Here is a 27897-nt window from a genome sequence, read left to right on the forward strand (position 1 = left end):
AAGTACGTTTTGAACTTTCTCTTCTTTTATTACCATGATCTTCGTCATGACTGTTCTGCACCATTACTGGATTTCGAAACCAGAGGAATGATGATCGTATGACAATCAAAATTAATATCCCTTGGATTCATTGTTTAGCAAGGGCACGGATCTCCCACCAGCCAAGATATATCCATTTCATAGCCCTTAAACATAGCCATAATGTAAGCCAGGCATGGTGGCTTACACCTGTAATCCCAGCACTTTGGGAGGCCAATGCAGGTGGATCATGAGGTCAGGAGTTCGAGACCAGCCTGGCCAACATGGTGAAACCCTGTCTCTACTAAAAATACAAAAATTAGCCAGGCGTGGTGGTGTGCGCCTGTAGTCCCAGCTACTTGGGAGGCGGAGGCAGAAGAATTGCTTGAACCCGGGAGGCGGAGGTTGCAGTGAGCAGAGATCACACCACTGCACTCCAGCCTGAGCAACAGAGTGAGATTCCCTCTAAAAAAAAAAAAAAAAAAAAAATCCATAGTGTGGTGTTCTCACATTTGATTAACATATTATGACTTTTTGATGTCTGAGTAATTGATTCTTATTACCATTGAAACCAGAGATGGGAGTGATGGAAATGACCTACAGAAGGATTAAATCTACCCACTGCAAGGGCTGAACTAATTGAAGCAATTCTATGTGCTTACTTCATATTAGAAAATGAGCAAACCCGGCCGGGCGCGGTGGCTCACGCCTGTAATCCCAGCACTTTGGGAGGCCGAGGCGGGCAGATCATGAGGTCAGGAGATCGAGACCATCCTGGCTAACATGGTGAAACCCCATCTCTACTAAAAATACAAAAAATTAGCCAGGCATGGTGGCAGGTGCCTGTAGTCCCAGCTACTCGGGAGGCTGAGGCAGGAGAATGGCGTGAACCTGGGAGGCGGAGCTTGCAGTGAGCCGAGATGGCGCCACTGCACTCCAGCCTGGGCCACAGAGCAAGACTCCGTCTCAAAAAAAAAGAAAAGAAAAGGAAAGAAAAGAAAATGAGCAAACCCTTCATCTCCTCCTCATCATTACTAACACCAACATTGTCTGACATTTTTGTCCACCTAGAAATTGTATTCATGATTTCTTAAAACATAAGTTACTCACTAATCCTCATTCACCTCTCAGGATATACTTGGGAAATTTTCAAGTAGTATCACACACTGTTGCTTTTTCTTATTTTGCTTTTTTTTTCTTTTGAGATGGAGTTTCACTCTCGTTGCCCAAGGTGGAGTGCAATGGTGCGATCTTGGCTCATTGCAACCTCTACCTTCCAGATTCAAGCGATTCTCCTGCTTCAGACTCCTGAGTAGCTGGGATTACAGGTGTGCACCACCATGTCCAGCTAATTTTTTGTATTTTTAGTAGAAATAGGGTTTCACCATGTTAGTCAGGCTGGTCTTGAACTCCTGACCTCAAGTGATCTGCCGGCGTCGGCCTTCCAAAGTGCTGGAATTACAGGCATGAGCCACCGTGCCCAGCTTATTTTGCTTTTACTAATCGAGTGTTGAGACTTGGATGACAGTGTAGGCCCTAAGGTGCTATATAGCTCATTGTCCCTGGTGATTCAAGGCTATTTTTTGCCAAAACATGGCAGGGAGGAAACCCAGGGAAGTGGACATTAGAAAACTTAGAAAAAGATTTGTCTCTATCCGACTGCAGTGGCTCACGCCTGTAATCCCTGCACTTTGGGAGGCTAAGATAGAAGGATTGTTTGAGGCCAGGAGTTTGAGACCAGCCTGGGCAACCTGGTGAAACCTCATCTCTACAAAAAATACAAAAATTAGCTGGGTATAGTGGTGTGCACCTGTAGTCCCAGCTACTTGGGAGGCTGAAATGGGAGGATCACCTGAGCCCAGGAAGTCAAGGCTGCAGTGAGCTGTGATTGCACCACTACACTCTAGCTTGGCATCAGAGTGAGACCCTGTTTCAAAAAATAAAAAAGAAAGAAAACGAAAAGCTTAGGAAACTGTTTGTTTCTGTATTGGTTTGTTAGCGATATCCCAACAACATACCGCAGACTGAGTAGCTTAAACCACAGAAATTCATTTCTCCAGTCTCAAAATTCTGGAGGGTGGAAGTCCAAGATCAAGGTGTCAGTGGGGTGATTCCTCCAGAGGGCTGTGCGGGGAAGAATCTGTTTCAGGCCTCTCTCCTTGGCTTGTAGATGGCCAACTTCCCCCTGTGTCCTTCCCCGGTCTTTCTTCTCTGCTGTGTCTGTGTCCTAATCTCCTTTTCTTTTTTTTTTTTTTTTTTTTTTTTATTATACTCTAAGTTTTAGGGTACATGTGCACATTGTGCAGGTTAGTTACATATGTATACATGTGCCATGCTGGTGCGCTGCACCCACTAATGTGTCATCTAGCATTAGGTATATCTCCCAATGCTATCCCTCCCCCCTCCCCCGACCCCACCACAGTCCCCAGAGTGTGATATTCCCCTTCCTGTGTCCATGTGATCTCATTGTTCAATTCCCACCTATGAGTGAGAATATGCGGTGTTTGGTTTTTTGTTCTTGCGATAGTTTACTGAGAATGATGGTTTCCAATTTCATCCATGTCCCTACAAAGGATATGAACTCATCATTTTTTATGGCTGCATAGTATTCCATGGTGTATATGTGCCACATTTTCTTAATCCAGTCTATCATTTGATTCCTAATCTCCTTTTCTTATGAGGACACCAGTCATATTAGATTAGGGCCCATCCATATGACCTCTCATTTTACCTTTAGTACCTCTTTTTTTTTTTTTTTTTTTTTTTTTTGAGATGGAGTCTTGCTTTGTTACCAGGCTGGAATGCAGTGATGCGACCTCAGCTCACTGCAGCTTCCGCCTCCCACGTTCAAGCGATTCTCGTGCCTCAGCCTCCCGAGTAGCTGGGATTACAGGTACACACCACCACGCCCTGCTAATTTTTGTATTTTTAGTAGAGACGGGGTTTCACCATGTTGGCCAGGGTGGTCTCGATCTCTTGACCTCAGGTGATCCACCCGCCTCGGCCTCCCAAAGAGCTGGGATTACAGGCATGAGCCACCATGCCCGGCCCCCTTTATTACCTCTTTAAATGTCCTGTCTCCAAATACAGTCACATACTGAGGTCCCGGAGTTAGGATTTCAACATATGAATTTGAGGTGGGACATGGGAGGAACAAAATTCAGCCCATAGCAGTTTCCTAAACTGAAGATTGCTTAAATATTAAAATCTTAAACAAAATCCTAACCAGGATGCAATGATTTGCCTTTGCAAAATCAAATCTCGAATTCCAGTGGGAGTTCTCTAAGGATCTGTAAAGCCTAACTGTGTTGGGCTGGTCTTTCTCAGGAAGAGACCTCCCTTGAGAATATTGTAGCTTGCAGACTGGTTCATTTATGAAGCTGAAAGCAGGCAAGAGAGGTGCCCAGGGTACAAATATAGGAAAGAGCTTGCTCTTGGCTGTCTGCATGCTGACCGTGTACTGTGCATTTGCACAATTCTGAGAGTGAATATCTCTTTAAATCTTGTGCCCTGAACATCTCTCTTGCTCCACGCTGGTCCTTGCACTTCTGTAGAGGAAGGCAAACAGTATTCATAAGTTGTAGTCGCTCTTTCAATGATGTTTTGGCAAACATCTAGTATTCAAGTGTTCTCAGAAGTTGATTGAAAGTGTGATTGTTAACACAGGCTGGGGGAAGGAATACGAAGGTGTCCTAAGTCATTTCCTTGTTAATAGTGACAGCCACTGAACCAGGAATAGATTTTGAGGTCCTTGTGCTGTATCTCTACATTTGTAACCCAATGTCATGCTTGCTTTTATTTGGCTGCATTCTTAGCCTTGATGCTAGATGATGACCTAGAGGACAGCCCAGGATTTGGGAAGGGATTCCATGCCTTGATTTGTGAATCCATAGCCAGGCTCAGAATATGCTGAGGTCTTTGGCACTGTGTCAGTGATATGATCCTCTCAGAAGTGTCCAGCTCTATTCTGAGAACGGAGCAGGCGCAGATGCACCTCATCTCTGCCAGTGGCTGTGGCTGTGAACTTTAGAAACCCATTCTGCTATTACAGAGCAGAACCCCAAGAGCTAGAGCAGATGATCCACACCTCTGGAGCATGCTGCTGTTCTAGCAACAGGCCGGAGCTGTCTAGACAGGAGAGAGCTTTCCTTCTTACCCCTGGCAGTCCTTGATCTGACCATGGAGGCAATGCTGTTTTCTTTCCAGAAGTGGCGTGGTTAGTGAGGCAGTGAATGTTGCTGTCTTTTAAGAGACCAGCTAGGACACCTAAGTCCCAGGCTTTCAGGATGAACATTTTAGTGCTCTGGCTCCCTGCTTTTGCCTAAGAACACGCACTTCCTCCAAGAACCTGCTCAAGCCCTCCTGGAGGAAGTCCAGATCAATGCTTCTACTCACTGTCCTCAGCTCAGTGCCTTGACATGAATTTGCAGAGCCTGATGAAATATTTTCTCATTCTGAGGGGAAAATCAAAGCCACCTCTCCCCTTCCATCTGACTATTCAAAATGTACCAGAATTTCCTTTAGAAGTTGATCTCTAAGGAGGTACAAAGCTACTTTTGCAATGAGCCCCCTTTTTAGTATTACGTGAAAGTTCCACCATTAATATTAGCAAAAATGAATTCTCTAGGGACATGGAGAGAAAGAAATTTTGGTTATAAGGTCAGTCTGCCTGTAACTTTCTCATTCTCTCACTCTATGTAAAGCAACAAGAAAAGTTGTAAGTTCAACATGGCATTAGTCTGTAGAGGCTCGTTTCAATACCACAAAGGCTACTTCCAGCTAAATTTTAATAATCTAAGGCCTTGCTGCTCAAAGTGGGGTCCCTTGACCCACAGCACCACCGGGGAGCCCTTTAGGAATGCAGAATCCCTGGCCCCACCTCAGACCTGCTTTTTAATAAGATTCTCAGGTAGCTCGCAAGCACATTAAGCTGTGAGAAGCACTGTTTTAGGAACTAATGAACCTTAAGAGATTCTGTCCAAAGACAGGAAGATTTGAATTATCTTCTCTACCCAGAAGCTGATAATTAACTTTAGCAGTTGTTAGAGGCGATGGTTTCTTCCTATCAAGTCCTTTTGCAGATGGTCCCTCTCTTATCCATTCTGTTTGAGACCCCTTCAGTTTGTAATGAAGCTTAATTGATTAGCTCTATTTGTGAAAAGCTCAGGCCCTAATAAGCACACTCCCACTGGGTACACAACTAAATAGTTTATGAGGTAATTCGTATTTTAATGTCTTTCCTAATGAGCCCTTTCAGTAATGAAATCCCCTGAGAAAACGTTATTGGTTCCCAGACGTTTCTTAGGCTCCTAGGGCAGGAAGGCTGATGAAGGTGGAAACATGAGGCTCTAGAGTAGAAAACAGTTTTCAGTTCAAAACAAGGCAGATTCTTTTCTTCCCCCTCAAGAAATATTTCAAATATGGCTTTTCATACCTTATTTTCTAAATCCTTATCTTCTCAATCATTTAGAAAAACTAGAAACAAGACTTTTTTTTTTTTTCCTGAGGCTGTTGTGGAATTCCTTTCCTCTGCAGTAAATAAATAATATGAGGGTTGCCAGTGTGTATGATGTTATACAAACAAGAAAGACAGATGGAGAGGAAAAGATACAGGGAGACAGAAATGTGTGCACACACACTTGTGTGCAAATACACACACAGCACCTGCTTGGTGCCTCAATGTTCTTTGTAAGTCTGTATTTAAATCTTCTCAGCATCATCACTTCTGTAATAGTTGATAAATGTGTCAATCCCTCCTCATTAAGGGTGAAGCCAAAATGAGTCCCATAATGAGAAAGAAGCATTTAGAATAGCAAAGTGGCTGAGCAACAAGACAGTTATCTGTAGCACAGCAGAATTCGATCCAAAGGGAGTTACAGCAAATTCCCTTTAAGTGAGGAAGGAAGCTGTGTCACAGGGGTTTGCTGGCAGCTGTCTGGAACCTGCAGTGGTGAAGGGACTCACCTTTCTGCTCCGAAGCTGAGCAGAGAGTAGACACACTCATTCTTGAGCCCTAATTTGAAGCCAGACAGCAGGCAAAGAAGACCAGTCCCAGCGTGTTTTTTTTCCAGTCTCTCCCTCTGAGAAAGCTTCAGACACCAGGCTGGGTTGGCCAGCCTGACACAGTGCCTGTCCTGTAAGTGATGGCAAAGCGTATCCTGACCCTACTTTACCTAACACGAAGATCAAAGCCTCCCAGCATGTAATGGATGCTGAAAAACAGCCTTTGTTTACCAGTCTTGCCCTTTAACTTGTTAAGGGCGCCCCTCCCCTGAAGAAACACACTTTCTCAGCTGGATGCAGGAGAGGGAACAGAATTGTGGAAGATGTCCTTAACAGGCCCTTCTAGAATCACTGCTCACGGTGGTGTCTCCATTCCCATAGGAGGAAAGCCAGAACCACAGGCCAGGGTCAATGAACGTATTCCAGCTGGGCCTGTGGCCATGTGGCTGGCTGCAGATTTTGCTTTGTTACCTGATGGCTTTGGATAAGCAGGATAAAAAATAATGACTTAATAGACCATGAGTTTTAATAACATGTCTGCAGGTCACTGGGAACAGGGACAGCATAGAGCTCATGTGTAGTGTTTTGCTTTGTTTTCTTGACAAGCAAAATGAGTTGTCTTCATGGGTACTGTATGCAAATCTAAATCTCTACAAGCCAAATTTTGTGGTAAATTCTGTGATCTGTGGGTATGTCAGGATTTTATGAATGAGACAAGCACATATATGTGTAGGACTTCTTTGAAATCCCAGTTATCACTCTAGCTGTCACTATGAGGAAGAACAATGTGTGGGCAAGGAAAAGCTCTTTGCTCAAAGCCAGAGCCAGCAATCTTGAGGACAGAGACAGCATTCTAAGTGTGATCCTGCTAAAACTAGAGAGAATGTGTCCAAGCCAAGGACGACGAATTACTAGAGCTCAGTGGTATGAAAAAAGAAGAATCTCAGAGTTCTGGAGAAAATTCTTTAAATACCCAGGGCAGGCTTTGTGGAGGTACCTTCATCCTTGAGAAGAGAGACTTCAGTATCTGTGGAACAAGTGAAGCTAGAACTTGGCATCGGAGCATAGTGCTGAGCAAAGAAGCCTCTACTCAGATAGATTTGAGTTACCACGGCATGCCAGTGAGGAAAAGCAGCCTGCACAGGCCCCAGCGTGCAATGAGGATTTTAAGATGGTTTGTAGGTCTTGGCCCTCCAGACAGTGAGTTTGCAAGCCTCTGTGAGATTCTGCCTGGAAAGGAATAAATGCAAGAGGGGAGGAAAATCTGAATGAAGTTTTTATTCTGGAGGGCTCTCCCAGTGTCGTAGCTGCTTTTGTGCAGGGACAGGGACAAAGAAAGCAACCAAAGAGTGGGTGGCTGGGATTTATGTATTTGATTGTCTCACTTAACAATCAATGAGGCTTTAATATTCTTGAAAGTTCAGGCTCCTACTAAAACTGCCTTGAGCCAACTGCAACTTGGATTTGTAAGCAGAATCCAAGCCTGACCTCCTAAGGTGTATGCTCCAACCCCTTATTCTCTGAGTGTTTCAGCATCTGTGAAAGCAGAGGCCTCAACCCAGAGTGGTAATTTCAGCAACTTTTCCAAACAACATTCTGGGCGAGACAAGTCAGCTCCTTCCCATTTACTTATGAGTTAATTAGTATTTAAATACAAGTCTCCAGGCCAGTGATTTATTTTAATAATATCTTAGCCCCTTGGCAGGCCCATGACTTCATGACTGCAGCAGTGGGGAAAGGGCACACCGCCCTGATGGATGTCTCAGTGCTGCATGTGGCTGATTTACAAGGCAGTCCTCTGATCTGAGTCACTCTTACTTCCTCTGCTGCAAACCCATTGAGTGGCACCCAGCGGTTGGAGCGTCTACTTGCTTAAAGTGACAGTTAAAAGAAGAGAGTGGGTTGAATACAAATAACGTGGATGAAATTATTATTGAACAAGAAATCACTGGATACTTCAAATTGTGAAGCAGTTGTATATTGGCCAAATAGGATCAGTTTCCATATGTTCATTGTCTGTTGCATTTATTAAAACAAAAGGCTATAGATGCTGGTTTTAAATCAGTCATCTGCATTTTATAGGTCTCATTACAACAATGTCCATAATGATGGAGTCAGCTGATTTTTTTCAAGACAATCTTTAAGGTTATTTTGTGTTTATTAGGTTGCTAGGGGTACCTAATACATCAGTACGAATAGAAGAAGTGTTTAATGCAGTTGCCAGATTTTTATGCAAGATAAATAGTTTTACATGTCTCAGAAGTAGAATCCAATTGGCCAAGAAGTTGGCCAAGAGCTGAAATTTGACATCATTCTTGGCAACTGATAGTTTTTTTTTTTAACGTGCATTATATAAAAAGCTCACTATATCTTTTCTAGATATAATATTAGACTGCAAATATAACTTTTAACAATAAATCAATATATGTAAATGATAAAGTATGTTTCCTAACTGTTGGTCACAGCAATAGACAACATTTCAAATGGAAATATGCATTTTTTCTTTTTTCCTTTAGTATTTTTGAAATGAGAATATATGTGGCATATCTTTATGTTGTAGAGCTCAGTGATACAACAAATACCTATGAGCCCAGCCCCCAGCCCCCAGCCCCAGAACCAGAGCATCACCAGTCATTTCTAACTGTCAGTGTGTTCCTTCCACGTTCCATCCTGCCTCGCCCTTGGGGTCGTCACTGTCCTGAAGTTGGGGCTCATCATCCTTTGGCATTTAAAAGGAGTTTTATCACAAATGTATGCATATCTTAACAATAAACTGGTTAATCTTGCTTGTTTTTGAGCTTTATATGAAATGGCATATAGAATGGAGTTGTCTGGGCTTGCTTTTTCACTTAACATTATAAATTTCTGACAAGAAAATTTGTGGATCTCATTTTAAGGAAGAGAATGGCCCCATATACAAATCATTTTTAACCTCTACTATAGATATGTGATACACAAGAAATGTAAGAAATACATGTAGAAGCTTAATACGAAATATATCACTTTTTTTATTAGAGTCAGAGATGCTTGCTGTTTCCATACTTATTGTATTTTAATTGGTAAAAGATGATTAAAACATATGAATTAAGCCTCATTTTGATGTTTCTGCAATGTGGTAATTAAACCCAGAGAAGATATATTTTCTATGAAACTATTACACCTAATTAGCATGTAATAATTGTCAAATTAAATATATATTAAATACTCATTTTAAATGTGTAATTGAAGTGTCATGACATGAAATCTAATATTTTTGGAATGAATTTATCAGGTAATGTAATTTCAGGTTGCCATCAGCCTTCAGAACTGTACTAAACATAGGCCTAATTACCCCTATGGAACCTTTCAATTGTCTGTCTGGTTGAGCACAGATTCTGAAAAATTTTAAGGTTAGAAATGAAATGTTTGATAATCTCATCAAGAATTAAATGCCATATCGCTGGGTGAAAGGTTTCCGTTTAGATTCTCTAGGCTTCTTCCAAACAAATATCAAGGCAGTTTTTCCCTTTCCCCATTAACCAACAAACGAAGCCACTTGGTTGCTCACAAGCCTGGGAAGCGTCAGGAAGCAAAAGATGACTGCGCGTGAGCCAGGGGTGGGGGGTGGGGGGACACTGTGGAGAGGAAAGGCATTCCTTCTTCTCTACACATCTTTATTAACTCAGATGCCATCCCCAGCATTCAAAGAAGGCCACAGCTCTGCTGGAAGGGATTGCCACTGTTATCACTTTGTCAGAAAAGAGAAACTGACACATTTGGAATTGGCATGTTGGCCATGTGAAGATCCAGTGGATTTTGTCTATAATGTGTTCTCAGATTTCAGCAAAGACAGGTTAAATTCGCCATTTCAGACCCTAGTGGTTTTCCACTCAGTCGTTGAGTTGCTTGTGGTTTGCAAATATCTACGAGGATCCAGTGCCTTCCAGAGAGGGCTTGCCTCCCTAGTTATGTGGAATAGACACATGTTGTTTTTTCTTTTACTTACTAATGTTGTCATTGTTTTATTTTTTATCTTGAAACAATTTTAAACTAATGGAAAAGTCGCAAAAATGGTACAGAGTTCCGATACACACCAAGCTTCCTCTAATGTTAACATCTTATACAATCATAATACAATTACCAAAACCAGGAAATTAACATTGGTGCAATGTTATTAACTAAACTTCAGACTTTATTCATATTTCCCTATTTTTTTCACCAATGTCTTTTTTTCTGTTCCAGCACCCAGTGCCACATTGCATTTGTTTTTATGTCTCCTTAGACTTCCAATCCATGACGATTTCTCAGTCTTCCTTTGTCTTTTATGATCTTGATATTTCTTACGAGTACCGGTCAGTTCTTTTGTGGAATATCCCCCAGTTTGTGTTTGGGTGATGTTTTCTCATGATTAAATTGAAGTTATGCATATTTTGGAATACTTCAGAGGTGATGTTGTACCCTTTTTGGTCTGTCATGTCAAAGGGTATATGATGATAAATCTTATCCCTGGTGATATTAACCCTGATCACCTGTTTAAGGTGGGATGTTCCAGTGTTCTCCCCTCTCAAGTTCCTATCTTTCTCTTTGTAATTTTTTCTTTTTTTGGAACGGAGTTTCACTCTTGTTGCCCAGGCTGGAGAGCAGTGGCAAGACCTCAGCTCACTGCAACCTCTGCCTCTCGGGTTCAAGTGATTCTCCTGCCTCAACCTCCCAAGTAGCCAGGATTACAGGTGTCCGCTACCACACCTAGCTAATTTTTATAGTTTTAGTAGAGATGGGGTTTCACCATGTTGGCCAGGCTGTTCTCAAACTCCTGACCTCAAGTGGCCCACCTGCCTCAGCCTCCCATATTGCTGGGATTACAGGCATGAGCCATCGTGCTCAGCCTTCTCTTTGTAATTAATATGTATCTCAGAAGAATATTTTGAGACAAGCGAACACCCTACTTTAAGGAAAATCTTCGCATGGAAACCTGAACTTATGAAATAAGTACTGATGTATTTTCTTGCATTAACAAAGGAATTCTTCACTTTTCCAAAGGATTCACCCCAGGATTCAATTTTAAATAGCAATCTCAGTTCTAGTACATTTAACATAGGGCCTGTCTAATAAATGTTAACAGTTAACTTTTTGAGACAATGTTTACTACAATGGCCTCTTTTAGGACAATGTTTGTCTTCGCAAATAATCCATAAATATCTTCTTATCCCCTTATATAATGAGAAAAAAACAGCAGAATTTCTCTTACCTGGTAGGTCACTGAAAGAAGAAATAGAGCTTAAATCTTCTACTCTTTATTCTTTTCTAAAGGGATTTTTTTTTTTTTTTACTGCCAGAATTAGTGGGAAGGTCAGGAAAATACACATGTTTTGTGGAAATAAATTCTCAGAGATAATATTCTATAACATAATACCAAAGTAGATGGGCTAAGAGGATATCAATTATATGCCATACACATGATTCCACTTACTGGAAAACAGTTTGGCAAAATGTACCAAGCCTTGAGTTCCACCTCAAAGAATCTGTCCTAAGAAAATAATCACAGACCCAAGCAGAGATTTATGTTCAAAGATATTTACTGCAGTGCTATTATAAAGTATTAAGGAAATGATTTGGGAAATTGGCAATAATCTAAATGCCCAATAAATAGGAAATGGTGGGATTTTGTCCAACAATTCATGTTTTCAAAAACAAATGCCCCAAAAACATGTTCAAGTGATCACAATACCATACTATGTAGAAAAAATAGAAGTAATATTGTCTATACAGAATGTCCCTAATCTCTCTCTCGTGCATGCATACACACACACACACACTCACACACTCACAATTGGTAGAAATACTGATGAGAGAGTTATCTGTAGGTATTAGAATCATGACTGATATTTATTTTCCTTATGCTTTTTAGTTTTCCAATTCTTGTGCTATAATCTTCTTATATTAACAACAGGAAGATATTTCTGAGAAAATTAGCAGTAATTCCATAGGTACCCTTTGGGGAGATAGATTCATTGAAATACCTTTACATTTCCTCTTTTTCAACCCTGTGTAGATTACAGCTTTGAAAGAAACTAAATGGCATGCACTTGTTGAATTTATTCCAAATATTTATGTGTATATGCATTCACACACATATTTATAGAGCCAGAATGAACTGCATGATGAAGTGAAATGATTAAAATTTTTAAAATTAGATGATGTGCATTTGGAGAAAAAAATTCAATATCTAGCTTTTCCATGGTTGGCTTTCTAAATCTAATTAGAAAATACATAGGATGTAAGGACTATGATGCAAGAAAGAATGAGAGAAGGTTAACCCTACCAGGGATACAGTTTTTCAGAAAAAAAGAAGACGATCTTTTTTATATTATTCTTTTCAAGGTTAGTCTTTAAAATTAAACTCATTAAAAAAAAAAAAACCTCCCTCAACCTCATCAAATTACAGAAAGCCAAATATCTAGCTTTCATTTTTAATCAAGCAGGCCTAAATATTCATGTTTATGTGCCTAAATGAAACTTTTGTATGCAGTGTTCCACTCCATCTGCATGAATAGTAGCATTGTGGCCGGGTGAGGTCACTGCAGAAGGGAGAGTGAGGTAAGAACACAGCTGAATCTACAGGCTTTCTGCAGTGTGGTGCACCAGCTCTTTCTTAAAGCCACAGAACTGCCATTCTCACACCAAAGGCCCTCGGTTTGTTTGTGCCGGGCTGCAGCCCCACTTGCCTGTGTGTAGTGATGGCACTGTGTGTCATGAATAATTCAAGTGTTCCAAAGGAGAGCCAGAACTGCAAGGAGTAGCATGTGGCCAGAACCTCAGCAGTGTATAATTTCTGCTTCTTTAAACATCTACGTTGGCCACCTGTTCTCAAAGGAAAAGATGGTACCTTCCGTTTCCTACTGCCCTGCCACAAGATCCATGAGGGATCGCTGCTGTAGTTATGGGGACCCCACTGTGGTGTGCTTCCCTCCCAAGCAGTGGCAGGCTAAGTCACCAGAATATTGGTTAAAGATGCATGTCAGTTCATATTTTACCTACATTTCCTACTAACTTAGAGGAATAAGTTGGTTGCCAAGAGCATGCTGGCACGTAGCTCCCAGCCAACACGATCCTCATTAGAGCTGTGAGAACATGAAAAAACTTCACTCTTTTTTTTCCCCCAATAAGCTCTCCAAACGTTTTACCTCCTGCTTTACAATAGAGAGGGATCCTTTATTCTCCAGTCAGCATCAAGCAGCATCCAATTTAAATAATAAGATATTTCCAAGATATGGGTACTACGCCTTTGCTTGTATCTGCCTTGGAAGGTGCCATGATACCAGGAATAACAACAGCTTTTAAAATCTTTCCTGGAAAACTTTCACACCTGAGGCCTGAGCATATAAACTCGCATTAAGTAAAAAGATAGCACTCTCTGAACCAAAACTTCAAGAATGGGTAAGATTGACTCTTTAAATTAACCAAATCCTATAGAGTTCATCTTGGGTATCAGTACTGGGGATAAATGAGAGCATAAGATTGGTTAGGATAGGCATTATGGGGGTTACATGGTCCCTCTGTAAGTTTATAGCCAAGAGAAAGTGCTTTAGAAGTTCAGGGAAGGACCTGCTACTGGATCTGGAAGACTTGGAGAAAATACTTTGTAAAGGAAGCAGAAGATGAGAGGTCACTGAAGGAGGAACAGGCTTGGGCATCTCCAGTTGAGAACAATAGTGTAAAGAGAAGGGTATTGGTGCCGTATTTATAACAGCTGCTGAAGATACAAACTCTGGACTAGCTCAGTCGACTGACAGATGACCACCTCTCCCTGTTCAGGGATCATCAGTAGACCTGTTGAGTTGAGAAGTCAATTCCTATGAGAGAAGGGAGGTCCAGTTGGCAAGATACTTTGGGTCCCAGCCAGACCATAGAGGCTCAGGAATGCCAGCCTAAGGAAATGGTCATTATCTTTTAGGCAATAGTGAGTCACTGGAGGATTAGGAGTAGGGAGGGACACGATGAAATCAGTTTTTTTGGAAGATAAATCTGGCAGTGATGCACAAGAAGCACATATCAACTAATAGTAATAAGAAAAAAACTTACTAAGCTAGGAATATTACAGTTCCACTCTAGGCAGTGTTAAACAATGATTAAACGATGAACCCTGTTCATTTCTGCTGATGGCTGCTGAACATTGATCCTGAGAGCTGCTCGCCATGAAAAGAATGAAATGAATGCTGTGAACCAAGGACCCAATTATTATTCAGGTAGGCCCTAAAATCTGTAAGTGTTAGTGGCCAAAGAGTGTTTCTGAAGTGTTTCAGAGATCTTCAAGTGCATTCATTCATTCATTTAGATCAAACCTACTATGTGCTGGGTTCCATGATAGTCCCGGGGTAGGGTGGGGCGGGCATAAAGAACAATACAATGTATTCTATCTTCTCAAGAAATTTATATTTGCTATAGATTTTTAAAAATACAGAACATAGGAAGGTTCAGAAGCCCAGAATTTACAGCATATATAGCACTATTGTATGCAAACCCTCCTACCTCGGGGGATTTACCTACCTGCTGGAACTCATTCACAGGCCTGGCTGAGGTTCAGTGATGCTGTGGCCTATAAGAGAGAAGTGGAAGTGTCGAGGAAGGCAAGTCGCAGCCAAATGAAGGGCTTGCCATCTCCCTTTTTCACTCAGCAAAAGTACATTGAGTGGCTGGGCACGGTGGCTCACACCTGTAATCCCAGCACTTTGGGAGGCCGAGGCGGGCAGATCACCTGAGGTTGGGAGTTCGAGACCAGCCTGAGCACCATGGAGAAACCCCGTCTCTACTTTAAAAAAATACAAAATTAGCCAGGCATGGTGGCACATGCCTGTAATCCCAGCTACTAGGGAGGCTGAGGCAGGAGAATCGCTTGAACCTGGGAGGCGGAGGTTGCAGTGAGCTGAGATCACACCACTGCACTCTAGCCTGGGCAACAAGAGGGGAATTCCATCTCCAAAAAAAAAAAAACAGCACATTGAGTCTAAGTAGCCCTTGCATTTCAGCAGGATGGAGTCCAGTTTATTTTTCACTTAGAAATCTTCCAGAAGTGTGAAGTGTTCATTGAGGACTCAAAATATCCCTAACCACCATGACTACCACTGGTGCTCTCCAAAGCGGCCCTCTCCTCAAGCACCATATTGGTTATTAGTGTCAGCCACAATGGTGTACTCTGAACTGGGCACATGCTTTAACTAATGTTCAGAGACACTTATTGGAAATTGACAACAGCAGGTTTTGAGAGAGAGAGAGAGGCAGAGAGAGATCAACTGGCTATTTTTGCAGGGTGTTTAAATTGCTGGTTACAATTTGTTGGATGATTGATTGGTTCAGGCGCTCACATTTCAAAGATTGTATAGTCAACTGTTAATAAGTAAATTTTGAGAATCTGCAACATATTGTTTATAGGTACCAAGTTAAACACAGTTACTGCCCATCATGTTGCATTATTGCCAGTTTTCAGTTACTCACCCTAATTTTTTTAGCGTACTGTTACATAGTATTTCCCCTGAGCCAAGCACTGTTCTAAATGCTTTGTAAATAGTAACACAGTAAATTCTCGCAACCGTCGTATATGAGACATCTGCTAATACCATTCTTATTTTACAGAGGAGGAAACTGAAGCACAGAAAGAGTAAATGGTTTACCCAAAGTCACACAGTTAGTAAGTAGCAGAGCTGACATTTAAACCGAGCAGCCACACTCCTAGAGTTCATGCCTTTAACTACTATGCCACTGTAACAATGGGCAGCAACATGAGGAAAGAAACCTATATAGAAGTAATAGTATGGGCTGGGCACGGTGGCTCATGCCTGTAATCCCAGCACTTTGGGAGGCTGAGGCGGGCAGATCACGAGGTCAGGAGATCGAGACCATCCTGGCTAACGCGGTGAAACCCCGTCTCTACTAAAAATACAAAAAAATTAGCCAGGCGTGGTGGCGGGCGCCTGTAGTCCCAGCTACTCGGGAGGCTGAGGCAGGAGAATGGCGTGAACCCAGGAGCCAGAGCTTGCAGTGAGCCGAGATCACGCCACTGCACTGAGCCTGGGTGACAGAGCAAGACTCCGTCTCAAAAAAAAAAAAAAAGAAGTAATAGTATGAATTGTGGTAGTAGTGGTGGTGATGGTACAGGTGGAGTATCCCTTATCCTAAATGCTGGGGACCAGAAGTGTTTCAGATTTCAGATTTTTTTCAGATTTTGGAATATTTACATTACACCGGTTGAGCATCCCTAATCTGAAAAGTCAAAATCTGAAATCCTCCAGTGAGCATCTCCTTTGAGCATCGCGGTGATGCTCAAAATGTTTCAGATGTTGGGCCATTTTGGATTTTGGATTTTTGGATTAGGGGTGTTCAATCTGTAGTCCCAGTAGCAGTAGTATTACAGCAATGGTAGTGCTATTGTAACAGTAGTCGTTTTGTAGCAGTAGTGTGGGCGCAGCAGCAGCAGCAGTGCAGAACACAGTAAGAGTGGTGGTAGTATTGTAGTCATATTGTCATGGTACAGCAGTAGAAGCAGCCATCATTGTCTCTGTTGGCCTGGTTGTTGTACTCTCCTTTCAGACATGAAGATATCGAGGCTCAGGTAGACCTACTAACGAGTCAATGGCAGGACAGGATTTGTGCTCACAGGTATCTGAGTCCTTTCCTGCCTCTCAGGATGTTCACATAAGAAGAAAATGGCTGTTCTGTAGCCTGCAGAAATTCCTGCTCAGCGGCTTGGCCGTGGTTTGGCAATGCTACCATACACTGTGGCACTTGAAAGGTTTGTTGTCACTGTTGTTGTTGTTATCCTTGGCTGAGTCTATGTCATGTTCAAGCCACCGATTTGTTGGAAGTGTGAGGGCTGGTATGTGAATAGAGGGAGGTCCGGTGGGGAAAGTCAGTCAAATTAGTTGTGACTGAACTAGCTTGTCAATTCAGTGAGACAGATCAAACCATAGCCCCATGTAGACACCACCAGGGTTTGCACTACCAGTCAGTAGGTCACTGAGTCCTGCCCCTGTGAAATCCCCCAGCCACTTAGAGCAGTAAAGATTGATTAAACATGTTTATATGCAATTTGAAAATGGTTCTTTCAGGAAACGTGTGGTTCTTTAAAGTCACTTTAACATGAGAGATTTTACTTTAGTTTATTTATATGCTAGCCAAAAAGAACCCAAAGTCGAGCACAAAGTCCCATGATGTATGGAGTCCTCTAGGAGAAATTGTCAGAGCTGGTTTATATATTTGTACTCTATCAATATGGCCTTTCACAGTTCCTAATTAGTTTTGTTAGTTGACTTACAGAAAAGTGTATTTAAAGTGAGACGTCAGTAATTCCACTGAGGGAATAGCATTAATGAAAAACACACAGTCAGGAGGCCAATGGAAGAGCAAATGGTTCAGTCCTGAGCACCCCTAATTTGTATGGGGGTGATTAACTCAACTGCTTCTCTTGTTAGGAAACACTTTGGTAGAAACCCCTGGAGATTATTCAGGCAATGGATACATGTGTTTGTGTGTGTATACAGGTACAGGCACGCAGACACATATTTTTTGTTCAAAAAACAAGTAAATAAAGATTAATTGAGCTTTTGGAATACCTACCTGGTGTACTTCTGATAACATATATGCCACAGAGATTGTACTGGAAACTCAGCTGAGTTTGAGCTAAGATATGTTAGATCATGTCAAGTAAAAAGGAAATAGCTCCAAAACAAAGAGAACAAGCAATAAAATATAAATTTACCCAATTTTGATGTTTACTTCTGCCAGCTATGTGAACTCTGAGTTTGGTTATTTATACTTACATGGGGCTTCTTAGAAAAATGTATTTGAAGAACGCTGTCTCAGAATTTCAATAGCCAGAGCAGATGTGCAGTGTTCTTTGTGGGTTTTACAGTAGATATGTGCAGTCTACCAGAAATTATAGATGCACAATTAGATTTTTACAATGTACACATTCATGCAGATCAAACTATGTTCCTTAAATGAGGGCTTAGTTTTCTTTATTTCCTGCTGAGTTTACCAAGTGGAGCATTGGTTGCCAGCATTTCTAGCTAAGTAAGTTTGCTGCAAAACCATTCCCATTCATTTGTGCTCAGGCGAGGATGGAGGGTCACTTGCCTTTGTATAGAGAATGCAAAACAGGAAGGTCTCGTGTCATCACTCCAGCTTTTCTCTGCTGCCGCAGCTCTGGGCAGTGGGAACCATTTGGAATTTACATACCACGCAACTTTTCAGAATGTGTGACATGCTCAGGTTTATGTTTGTCTGTGGTATGCCGTGGTTGTTTATTATGTGGAAGAAATGGAAAGCTTGCCAATTCACATCACTAATGTGAGTTTGACTAATGACATGGGCAGTAAATTAGAATTTAGCTTCTAACCACATACAAATAGGTCTCAGGCTGCTGGTTAATGCCATGATGTCAGTTCTGATGCCCCCTTCATTAGCTGATGTGCTTTTAAAGGTAGACGCCAAGAGAAAGAATTTGGTTTTGTTTTCCTAATGCACAAAACATGTTTTGAACAATAGAAATACTTCTCTATCAACAGTTTTCTGGCTTGTTGATTTCCCAACTCTGCTAATTATACCCTCTGAGTCTGTATTTCCAGGTCTTTATTAGAACACAACATTACCTACAGGAGAGTTGATTTCTAAATCAGATTGAGTTTCCCCACACACCTCTTTCCTCTCCCAGGAGACTCAATTGGGTATCTACATGTGGCAGCAAAACCAGACCAACCAAATTATTCTACAGTTCTGATGCATCATGGCAGGTTAAGACAGTAGCCTAGCCAGTGGGGAAAGATGTTTACAAGGGCCCACTGATTATACCACCTTGAAGATCCCAGAGAATGATTCAGACCTGCCAAAGTTTTTTCTTCAACCGATGCTGCCTCCGCATGTTTGTGTTCATCTGATGGGCAGTCTTACCATAACTCATGTAGGGCATATATTATCATTTGTGGCTGTCTCTTTCTGAATCAGCATTTACCTTGTTAGTAGACTGTTTTGCCACACACAAAAACCTATTTATGAAGAAATATTTCCCTCCAAAATATAGCATTCTCTTATGAATATGTGCCCACTCAGGGCAGGTCTGTGTTTAGAGACAAGAAGGAGTAATAAAAGCATTGAATAAAAAAGAAGAAGAAAAAGAAAGTAGTAAAGCCTACCTATGACTGGCTTTCACAGTAATGTCTCTGTGAGCCTACAGTTATTTTCTTGGCACAGCAGCAAATACAAATGAAATTGTTGCGGAATCTAAGAGAGAAATTTCATTAGGTGTAATAATAGTGCTTTTCATTTTCAAAGCACTTTGAAAATGCTAACTAATTAATCTTCCATAATATTTCCAAGTAGTAGGAGCATATATTCTTCTACTTGCACAAAGCGTAGCACATATAGGAGGCTCATGTTACAGGAAAACCCTTAGAGACTTTGCCTACATGCGCTTCCTCCGGCTATCCACACATTTAAACCAAAATGAATATCGTCAGGTAGAGAACTGACAAAGCACACAACAGTATATGATTGACAGGGTTAGAAAGTGAGACAAAGAAAAGGAATTCAAATATCCAGAAATTGTAAATAAATGAGCATATGCCCAATGATCCCAAGTTTAAGGGGAGAGTCAAGGTGGAAAGAAATATATTTTTGTATGTAGTTGACCCTAGATGGGGTTCCACAGCTGCTGCTCACCAGCGATGGACCCTTGGGTAAGATATTAACTGCTCTGGACTTCACTTTCCTCAACTGTAAATTGCGGGTGTCGGAGTGAAGGTCTCAAGATCCTTCTTGTTCTGAAATTCACAGGTTTCTGCTCAGGGCAAATGGCAAGTCAATAGACAAGGCTTCATTCCTGAGATGGGTCTCAGGGGAATGTTTTCTGAGGGGGCAACTTTTTAGCTACAGAGCAGGAACATGGCATAAATCCCCAACCAGTACATTTATCCAATTAGATTTAAACTCAAGCCTCAATTAAAGATTTCTCTTTCACGGCATCGTACCAATATCAGAAATGCAAATACTGTATGGGGCTTTTTTGGCTGGAGCAAGTCATATAGCTAACATTTTGTGACTGGGAGAGAGTCCAAATTCTTTCCTATGTGTAATCACTTTAAATGATGTGAGGGATGTGTGTGTGTGTGTGTGTGTGTGTGTATCATTTGTTTTATGGAAATATTTGTGTGTGGAGGGGTCAAAGGTGATAATTCAGGAAAATAAGCCAATTATATATGCCAAGACTTGAGAAGATTTCAGTGATTCCTTAAATATTTAAATCATTTTTAAAACTAGTGTGATCCTGCTTGCTTTGGGAAGCAGAATAATTTTTAGAAATGAGTTCGCAACATAAAGATAAAGTAGTGTGAAACATGTGAATCTCAATGTAAATAACTGGTTGGGGATAAAACTGATCTCATTCTGAAACTTCCAGCAGAAGAAAGTTTGTAATGAGGAGAAAGGCAAACTTACCAGCTAAGTCATTTAAATGAAAGCTTTATATATTTTCCCAGATATTCATGCAGCGTTACAATGGCACAACCCATATTTGTGTATTTGTTTTTTAAACTTAAGGTTACCACATCTGGCATAAACTATTATTTTGGTTGTCAATTTGGGTCGATGAACTTCAAACCCCACATTTCAAAGTAAATCTGAAGATAAAATAAACATTTTACAGAAAGAAATTTTGTATGGTTAGAATTTTAAATATTTAGATGTCAGAATGATGTGCTCACATTTTCAGGTTACATTACTTTTAAAGGAATTTTCAATATATTGTGCTTGGTGGTTTGGATTTTCCAGCAACCCTTTATTTTGTAACTTTATTATTTGCTGCTGCTAATGTTGACAAGGACTTAAAATTGTACGTGCAGCATTAGATGCAAATATCCTGCTACAACACAACTAATTCTATGAAATTTAGAGCAAAATAATGCTGTGATAAAATTTGAGTGACCATTTGATAATTGTTTGTATTTCTCTATCACCATGCATGAGAACCTTCTGTGCTTTAAACCTTCCCTTCTACCCAACACAAAAGAAAACAAAACAAAAATCCAATAAACCTAAGTGGATTGATCTTTCCCTAAGCAAAATAGTCATCTGTCCTAAACTTAAACTCTTGGCTATGGTTTTTTTTTTTTCTTTTTCTTTTTTTTGAGGCTGTCAGATGACCTCGATACAATATGAAACTGAGAGAAAGTGCATTTCTTTTCATTCATTTATTTCTTCACACATCTTCAATGCTCCATTTTGTTTAATAGCTGAAACACATAACAAATCCATTAAAGACTCTTGGCTCTAATCATTGTTCAGAATAAATACAGTGTCCCAAAAGATCTTATTTATAAAAGTATTCCACTTAAGATGTGGGCCTTGTTTCTTACCTCCACAGCATTTACCCAGACAAGACACAGATTTTCAGGAGCTTTACCAAAAAATTGGGAATTGTAACAGAAAGAGGCCTAACCTTGCTTAAAGTATAACTTGTGCATCTTGTTGGTTCCAGGGCATCTTGAGGGTGATCAGATCAGAATTTCCCTTGTCTTTCCTGTGAGTTTCTCCTGATTTTCTATTCCACTCTTTCTTTAATATAAAAACATGCAAAGAAGAAAATCATCTCAAATAAGAAAAGCACTTAGATGTGCCTCTGCATCCTTAGTAGCTACTAATAGGTATTCAAATTGTGACGTGTATATACATTATACACAAGTGCCTGTTTCTTTTTAGGACTGCCATACCTTCTATTTCAAAGAGAGTCCTCCTTTCTTTCTGTAAGTTGCTTTTAAAGACAGTCCACTATTTCTTAGGAGCTTGGGGAGAAAATTTGAGTCTTTAGGAATATAAAAGCCTTGGGCTTGTTGCTTTAATACTGTCAAGCAACTTGTGAAGGTCCCCATGCAGTTAAATACTTTACCCTAAACCTTCAATTAATTATCCTACCACACTTTAGCCTTTAAAAGCGAGTCTTGCTACAACATATAACGTTTCCTCTGTGCCTTGCCACTTTATAGCACAGACCTGAACATAAGAAGGGCCCTTGAATATATTTTCAGTGGGTTCTCAGTACTCCTGTAAATTATCCTGCCCTTATTCTGAGGTTTTGGTGATTTATAACAGATATTTTTCCATTAGCAAAGTTTCCTTACTTTTTGTTCTTATTCATGAGATTTGAAAGCATGATGTAATCGCTGTGGGGATATTATTATTATTATTATTTTTTTTTGAGACAGGGTCTTGCTCTGTCACCAAGGCTGGAGTACATGGCATGATCATACTCACTGCAGCCTCAAAACCCTGGACTTGAATGATTCTCCCACCTCAGCCTCTCAAGTAGCTAGGACTACAGGTGTGCACCACCATGCCCAGCTAATTATTTTTGTATTTTTTGTAGAGAGAGGGTCTCACTATGTTGCCCAGGCTAGTCTCAAACTCCTGGCCTCAAGCAATCCTCATGTTTTGGTCTCCTAAAGCACCAGGATTACAGGTGTGAGCCACCATGCCTGGCCTAAGGATATTATATATTGTCAGTAGTATAGAAATTACATTCATGGTGCTGGAAGAAGTTTTCTTCAAGGACTACTCAGTAGATACAAAAATTATTTTTTACTGACCTGAATACACCCCTAGGTTCTTTAATGTTCTCTTATTATTTTTTTTAAATTTCAAGCAAAATATAAATGATATAACATTAACATTATAACAAGTTATACAGTTTTACACATAAGCCAGAGCTGAAATGCAGGAAAGGCCCTAATTCTCCTGTAAAAAAAAAAACTGACCCAAAAGTTTACACTTTTAATTTACCATTAGCCATTTGGGTTTTGGATGGCAAACACAACACTTTGCCAAGCTATAAAATTCATAATGTTTAAGAGAAGGATCAAAACTAAAACCGGAGAGTTTATTTGCACAAATATTTGCTTGGTGCAAATATTCGTGTTGGATGGTCTTAGACTATTTGATTTCGGTGGGTTGAAAGAAAGTCTGAGCTATAATTTGGGTTCTATTTTCATATTAGGCTTTCCCACTTTTCAAAACTCTTTGCAAATATTGATTTGTAAAGCTACTATCTCCCTATGAGAAATAAATGCTCCTCTCCATGGATTGACTATCAGATTTTTTAAAACTTGGGTCAGTTTTATATGTTTTCATAGGTAATTGAGGATTTAATTCTTTTCACTAGAGTCTACATATAAATGTCGATGACAATTCCTGTTTACATGGTTTAAAGAATTTATTTCTGAGAATAATGAGATTTAGAAGGGTCACTTTCACTTTGTTACCGTCTCATAAATTATCTTTAGTAACTTCAGTGTCTTAGGTGACCACAGTTTTGCCGCCTTTCATAGTCTCTCATAGATGTAGGTATGCAGCCTCAAACTCCGAAATTCATACTCCAATTCTCTGCTTATGCAGCCATGAAACATCTAGAATATGGATCACCAAAATGATGACAAAGATGAGCTGATTATCTCACTGTATTTATGTTACTGACATTTTTATTCTTTTGAATTACAAAATATCTAAAAGGGTCCCAAAGCAGACTTTTCTTATAAATGTGTGTTTACCTTTCATCTATTGTGATCATACGTGTCATGATAGAAACTATGTATGGATTTGAGGTGATGGTGGATATATTCACATGGCTCACAGTCTGGTGTGGTATGATTTTCTTGAACACAATCTAGACCTTGGTGCAAGGTCAGAAACATAAGAGTCTGTACTTCCTAAGTGTTTTACCCTTGTACAAATCCAGCACTTTAAAATGTGAAAATATTTATTCAATATTATTTATCAACATTCCATTCCAACAAACATGAATGTGTATTAGGTGTGTAGTGAAATATTTAGTTGTTGTTCTTTCTTCGTTTGGTATTCCTCTCTCAAGTGGAGCAAATGCCACAAAACCACATTTGCCTTATTCGTAGCTTTGTGTGTACATGTATGTTTTCTGTCTCCCATGGAGCCATGATATAGGTAGACAGGAAGGGAGAAAGGGGGAAAAAAACTGAAGGAGAGGGCTAGCACCAGCAATAAAAAAAGACGAAAATATTTGGTAGAGATACGAATGGCTGCAGAGAAGAAATCTCTTCTTTGCCTGTTGGTATTCACAGCAGAGGTTTCTCAGATGTTACACCAGATCTCAAGACCAGCAGTATTTACGGTGGGCACACTGTAATGTGCCCTTAGACAGAAAATGATAACAGATAAAGTATGTTTCCAAATATGGGCCCCCACCATGCCTCGAGCCTGCTCTCTACCCATTGGTGGCAGAGAACTGCAGCTATTGCCCGTGTGCAGGACAGTTCGAGAATTAATATCAAGTTGTCACTGACTCTAATCTCAGACATTTTCTTTGGGTGGTGCGGCAGGGAAAAGCAAGGGCTTTGAAATCAGACTAGTGTGTTTAATACCTTAGGCAAGTTACTTAGATCTCTTGGAGCTACATTTTTTCAGAGTGTAAAACAGAAGTCCTAATACACATCAACTAAAAAAAAAATGAGATAATATTTGTATGTTCCTTAGCACATCCCTAGGGCATAATGAGAACTCATTACATATAATTCATTAGTTTAGCCACTATGCTTATTTTCTTTGTTATGCACCATCTCTTTAAAGTTACTTTAAAGATAAATGAGAAATAAAAAACAGTCTGTCATCTTTCCCTTCTGAAGAAAGGGAAGAAGGTCCCTTCCCTGCACAAGCACCCCCTACTCTGGAACAAGCTCCCTCAAACTCTGCCTCCCCGCCCCAACTCCACTAGCCGTGAGCCCTTGGGTGTAAACTCAGTCCTCTGTCACACTAAAGAAAACACATTTATTTGAGGTCTGAATGATAAAGCATTAACATGCAAAGTCTGTTGAAAAGATGACAAGGTTATGCTTCGTTTCCCAGAATTTTAGTTAAATTTCTCAACTGGTTCTCAGCAAGGGATTTAAACAGATCTCTCAAATGCCTTGTAATTGTTGTCCAGCTTACCCTGGAATGTGCAGGAAAAGTTGAATGTGTCAGTGCATGGCAAACATTGGAGCACCCACGGGCTGGAATGTCGACCCAGATTGAAGACTGCCCTTCAGGCTGTGGCTGCTTGGTTGTTGAAATGGAAACCAGAATGGCCCTTGTGGGTAACTAAGCCCTAAATAGTGAGGAGGAAGACTCCCTCAGGTGTCCAGCTCAGCCACATTGGTAAACTTTCCTGACTTTCTGATCCCATCACCCACTAGTATCCACGGGAAAAGGCAGGGATGATCGTGTGTCTTCATCAAAGAGAGGTTCTATGTACAAGATAACTCTTGGGGACAGGGTGATATCACACTTCAAACCTCTCTGAAGTATGGAGTAAGGACAGGTCATCTGCACTCCAGTTCAAACACAGAATTGGACGCTAAACATTATTTCTATACTGATGTCAAGTTCTGCTTCTTTTGTTTGAGTCTTTGTTTTAACAAAGAGTAATACACACTTGGTTTTAAACTGCATACTAGGGGAAAAATCCTAGAAGGAGAATTGCCCAAGATCTTGTGTTTTGTCTTCATGTCATGACTTAATTTTTACAAAATCAAAATGACTTCATTCACAATTTATGTACCCAAGTAACTTAGCCCATTTTAAAATTCTTGCTGCCCTGTTCCATGTATGCATTTATTTTTGTTTTTTATTTTCATTGTAATTATGTGTACCAGACTGGGCTACAGGCAGTGTGACACTGACAAATTGGAAAGCATATCGAACATAGAGAGAAAGAGAATGGAAATTCTAAGATGGGTTAGCCAGCCTCTCTTGAGTTGATATATTCATGACATTATTTTCTTTGAGCTTTGCACTATCTTTTCAGGAATCTTCCTATTAGAAAATAACTTAACAAACCTGAGTTTATTTTGAACTTGGCAGTGGTTCTGATTAGAGATGTTGCAAAATAACCATTCAGCCCAACATGGCCCTAAAGACTCAGAGTTTCCAAGATGAATCAGGGCAGATATTGGCATACACTGAGGAGCATTTTTAACCTTTAACATGGAGTGGGAATGGGGAGAGAAGCGACACACTGCAAATCGGCACACACCCTTTCTACCATCCTCAATTTTATTTCTGTGGCTTTTTCCACATAAAAGAAAGTCATTTTCACAATTACTAAGTTGCATCGCATCTGTATCCATCCAGCCCAAGCTTCCAAGCTCCCAACTGGGGAACAAAAGCAGCTCATTTTGCCTAATGCCTCTTCAACCTAAAAGTAGTTTCTAAACATCGGTCCTTCCCATGATCCATCTAGAATTTAATCTCTGCACAAGGGATTTTTGCATCCATTCAGTTCTTACAAATATGATAAAGTTTAATTTCCATTATGAAAAGACAAAGATAAAATTTAAAGAAAGAACAGTCTTTAAAGTATTTGAAAATTGGTCTAAGATCCCCATAAGGATAGGAACTAATTCTATCATTTATAAAATCTAAGGATTTTGCATATTTTAGCCCTATTTGGCTAAAAATGCAGAATTAAGTCTGAGTTGGATGTGCCTTGTAGACAGGAGTTGGGGTGGGGAGGCAGAGTCTGAGGGGCATGTTCCAGAGTAGGGGGTGAATGTGCAGGGAAGGGACCTTCTTCTGTTTCCTCAGAAGGGAAAGAAGACAGGCTAGTGAAGAAAAAGACTCTTGTGGAAAGTAAGAGGGTTTGCAGATGGATACCATTTAAGGAGGGGACAGTGGCAATTGGAGGCACTTACACCCAATGCTTTCATCTGCTCATGAATGTGGAAGTGAGATGAAGTTCTTGGGGGAATAGTTTTCTTTCTCAAATGGGTAAAGAATCTGAAAACCATGTCACAAAAAAAAGGATGATGGAACCCCAATATCTAATCTGAGATGAAATAATTATCCTCATATATTTGAAAATCTGCAGTGTGAGAAGGGAGTTAGAGTTTCAGGAAAACAGATCTTACCTTGAGGTGGAAGAAGTTGCTTTATAGTCAGGGAACTTTTCCTGTCTGAATTAGAGGATAAAATGGCAACCTTTTGAAGGTACTGTGTGTGTGTGTTTGAGGGAAGAAGAATTCTTGCATAGGTTCTCTTCCAGTTCTGCTTCTGTGGATGAGGTTTTAAGCACTCACTTCCTGACAAGTGTCAAGAAGGTCTTACAAACACTGAAATTTGGTCATGAGTCCAATCTAGTCCCACCATTGATGATGCCACTTGAGAAATTCCTCCCACTCAAATGAGTTAACAGTGTTGGCCATCTTCCCAGAAGGAGGTAGTTTCATCTAGTTGATTAGATCTGAGTTGAGCTGCTTGCATTTAGGATAGCTTTCCTTCAGCCTCAGCCTCTCCTCAGGCAGCCCCTCGGGCAAAGCAAGACCTTTCTCATTCTTCCAGACCATTCAGAAAACTCTGTTATATAAATGAGTGAGCATTGACCACTAGCTGTGAGTCCTTGAGTGTAAACTCATTCCTCTGGTACACTAAAGGAAACACATTTATTTGGGGTCTGAATGATAAAGCATTAACAGGCAAAGAGTTGGGAAGATAGTAAAAGAACAACATTTTTTCTTTTTCTTTTATTAAAACTCAACTGGATAAATTAGCTATGCTTTGACCAGGCCTGAAACTATAGCTCATTCAGTGGATATCTTGTTTGCTTATGAACCTCTAGTGCTTGTAAAAAACGTGTCCTAGACTAGTGTTCTGTGGCACTACAAGGTGACTATAATAAACAACAATTTATTGCAGATTTTCAAATAGGTACAGCAGCAGATTTTGAATGTTAACACAAAGAAATGAATGTTTGATAGATGAGAGATATGCTAATTATCCTGATTTGATCATTACACATTGTATACATATATTGACATGTTACATATACCCATAAATACGTATAATTATGTACCA

General features: G+C 40.3%; 1 protein-coding gene across 13 annotated transcripts in view, besides 1 other annotated feature; it reads left to right on the forward strand.

Moving 5' to 3' along the window:
- CREB5 (cAMP responsive element binding protein 5) overlaps positions 1–27897 on the forward strand; it is a 526574-nt gene that overhangs the window by 442259 nt on the left and 56418 nt on the right. The window lies entirely within an intron of this gene.
- Positions 27076–27667: an enhancer, noted in NCBI's record as "NANOG hESC enhancer chr7:28808272-28808863 (GRCh37/hg19 assembly coordinates)". NCBI's record gives its function as "activates a minimal SCP1, AML or CMV promoter by ChIP-STARR-seq in naive and primed H9 embryonic stem cells {active_cell/tissue: H9 hESC(naive and primed)}" and the evidence as "EXISTENCE:reporter gene assay evidence [ECO:0000049][PMID:30033119]".

This window comes from Homo sapiens, chromosome 7 (genome assembly GCF_000001405.40).
Source record: "Homo sapiens chromosome 7, GRCh38.p14 Primary Assembly".
Classification (NCBI taxonomy): domain Eukaryota; kingdom Metazoa; phylum Chordata; class Mammalia; order Primates; family Hominidae; genus Homo; species Homo sapiens.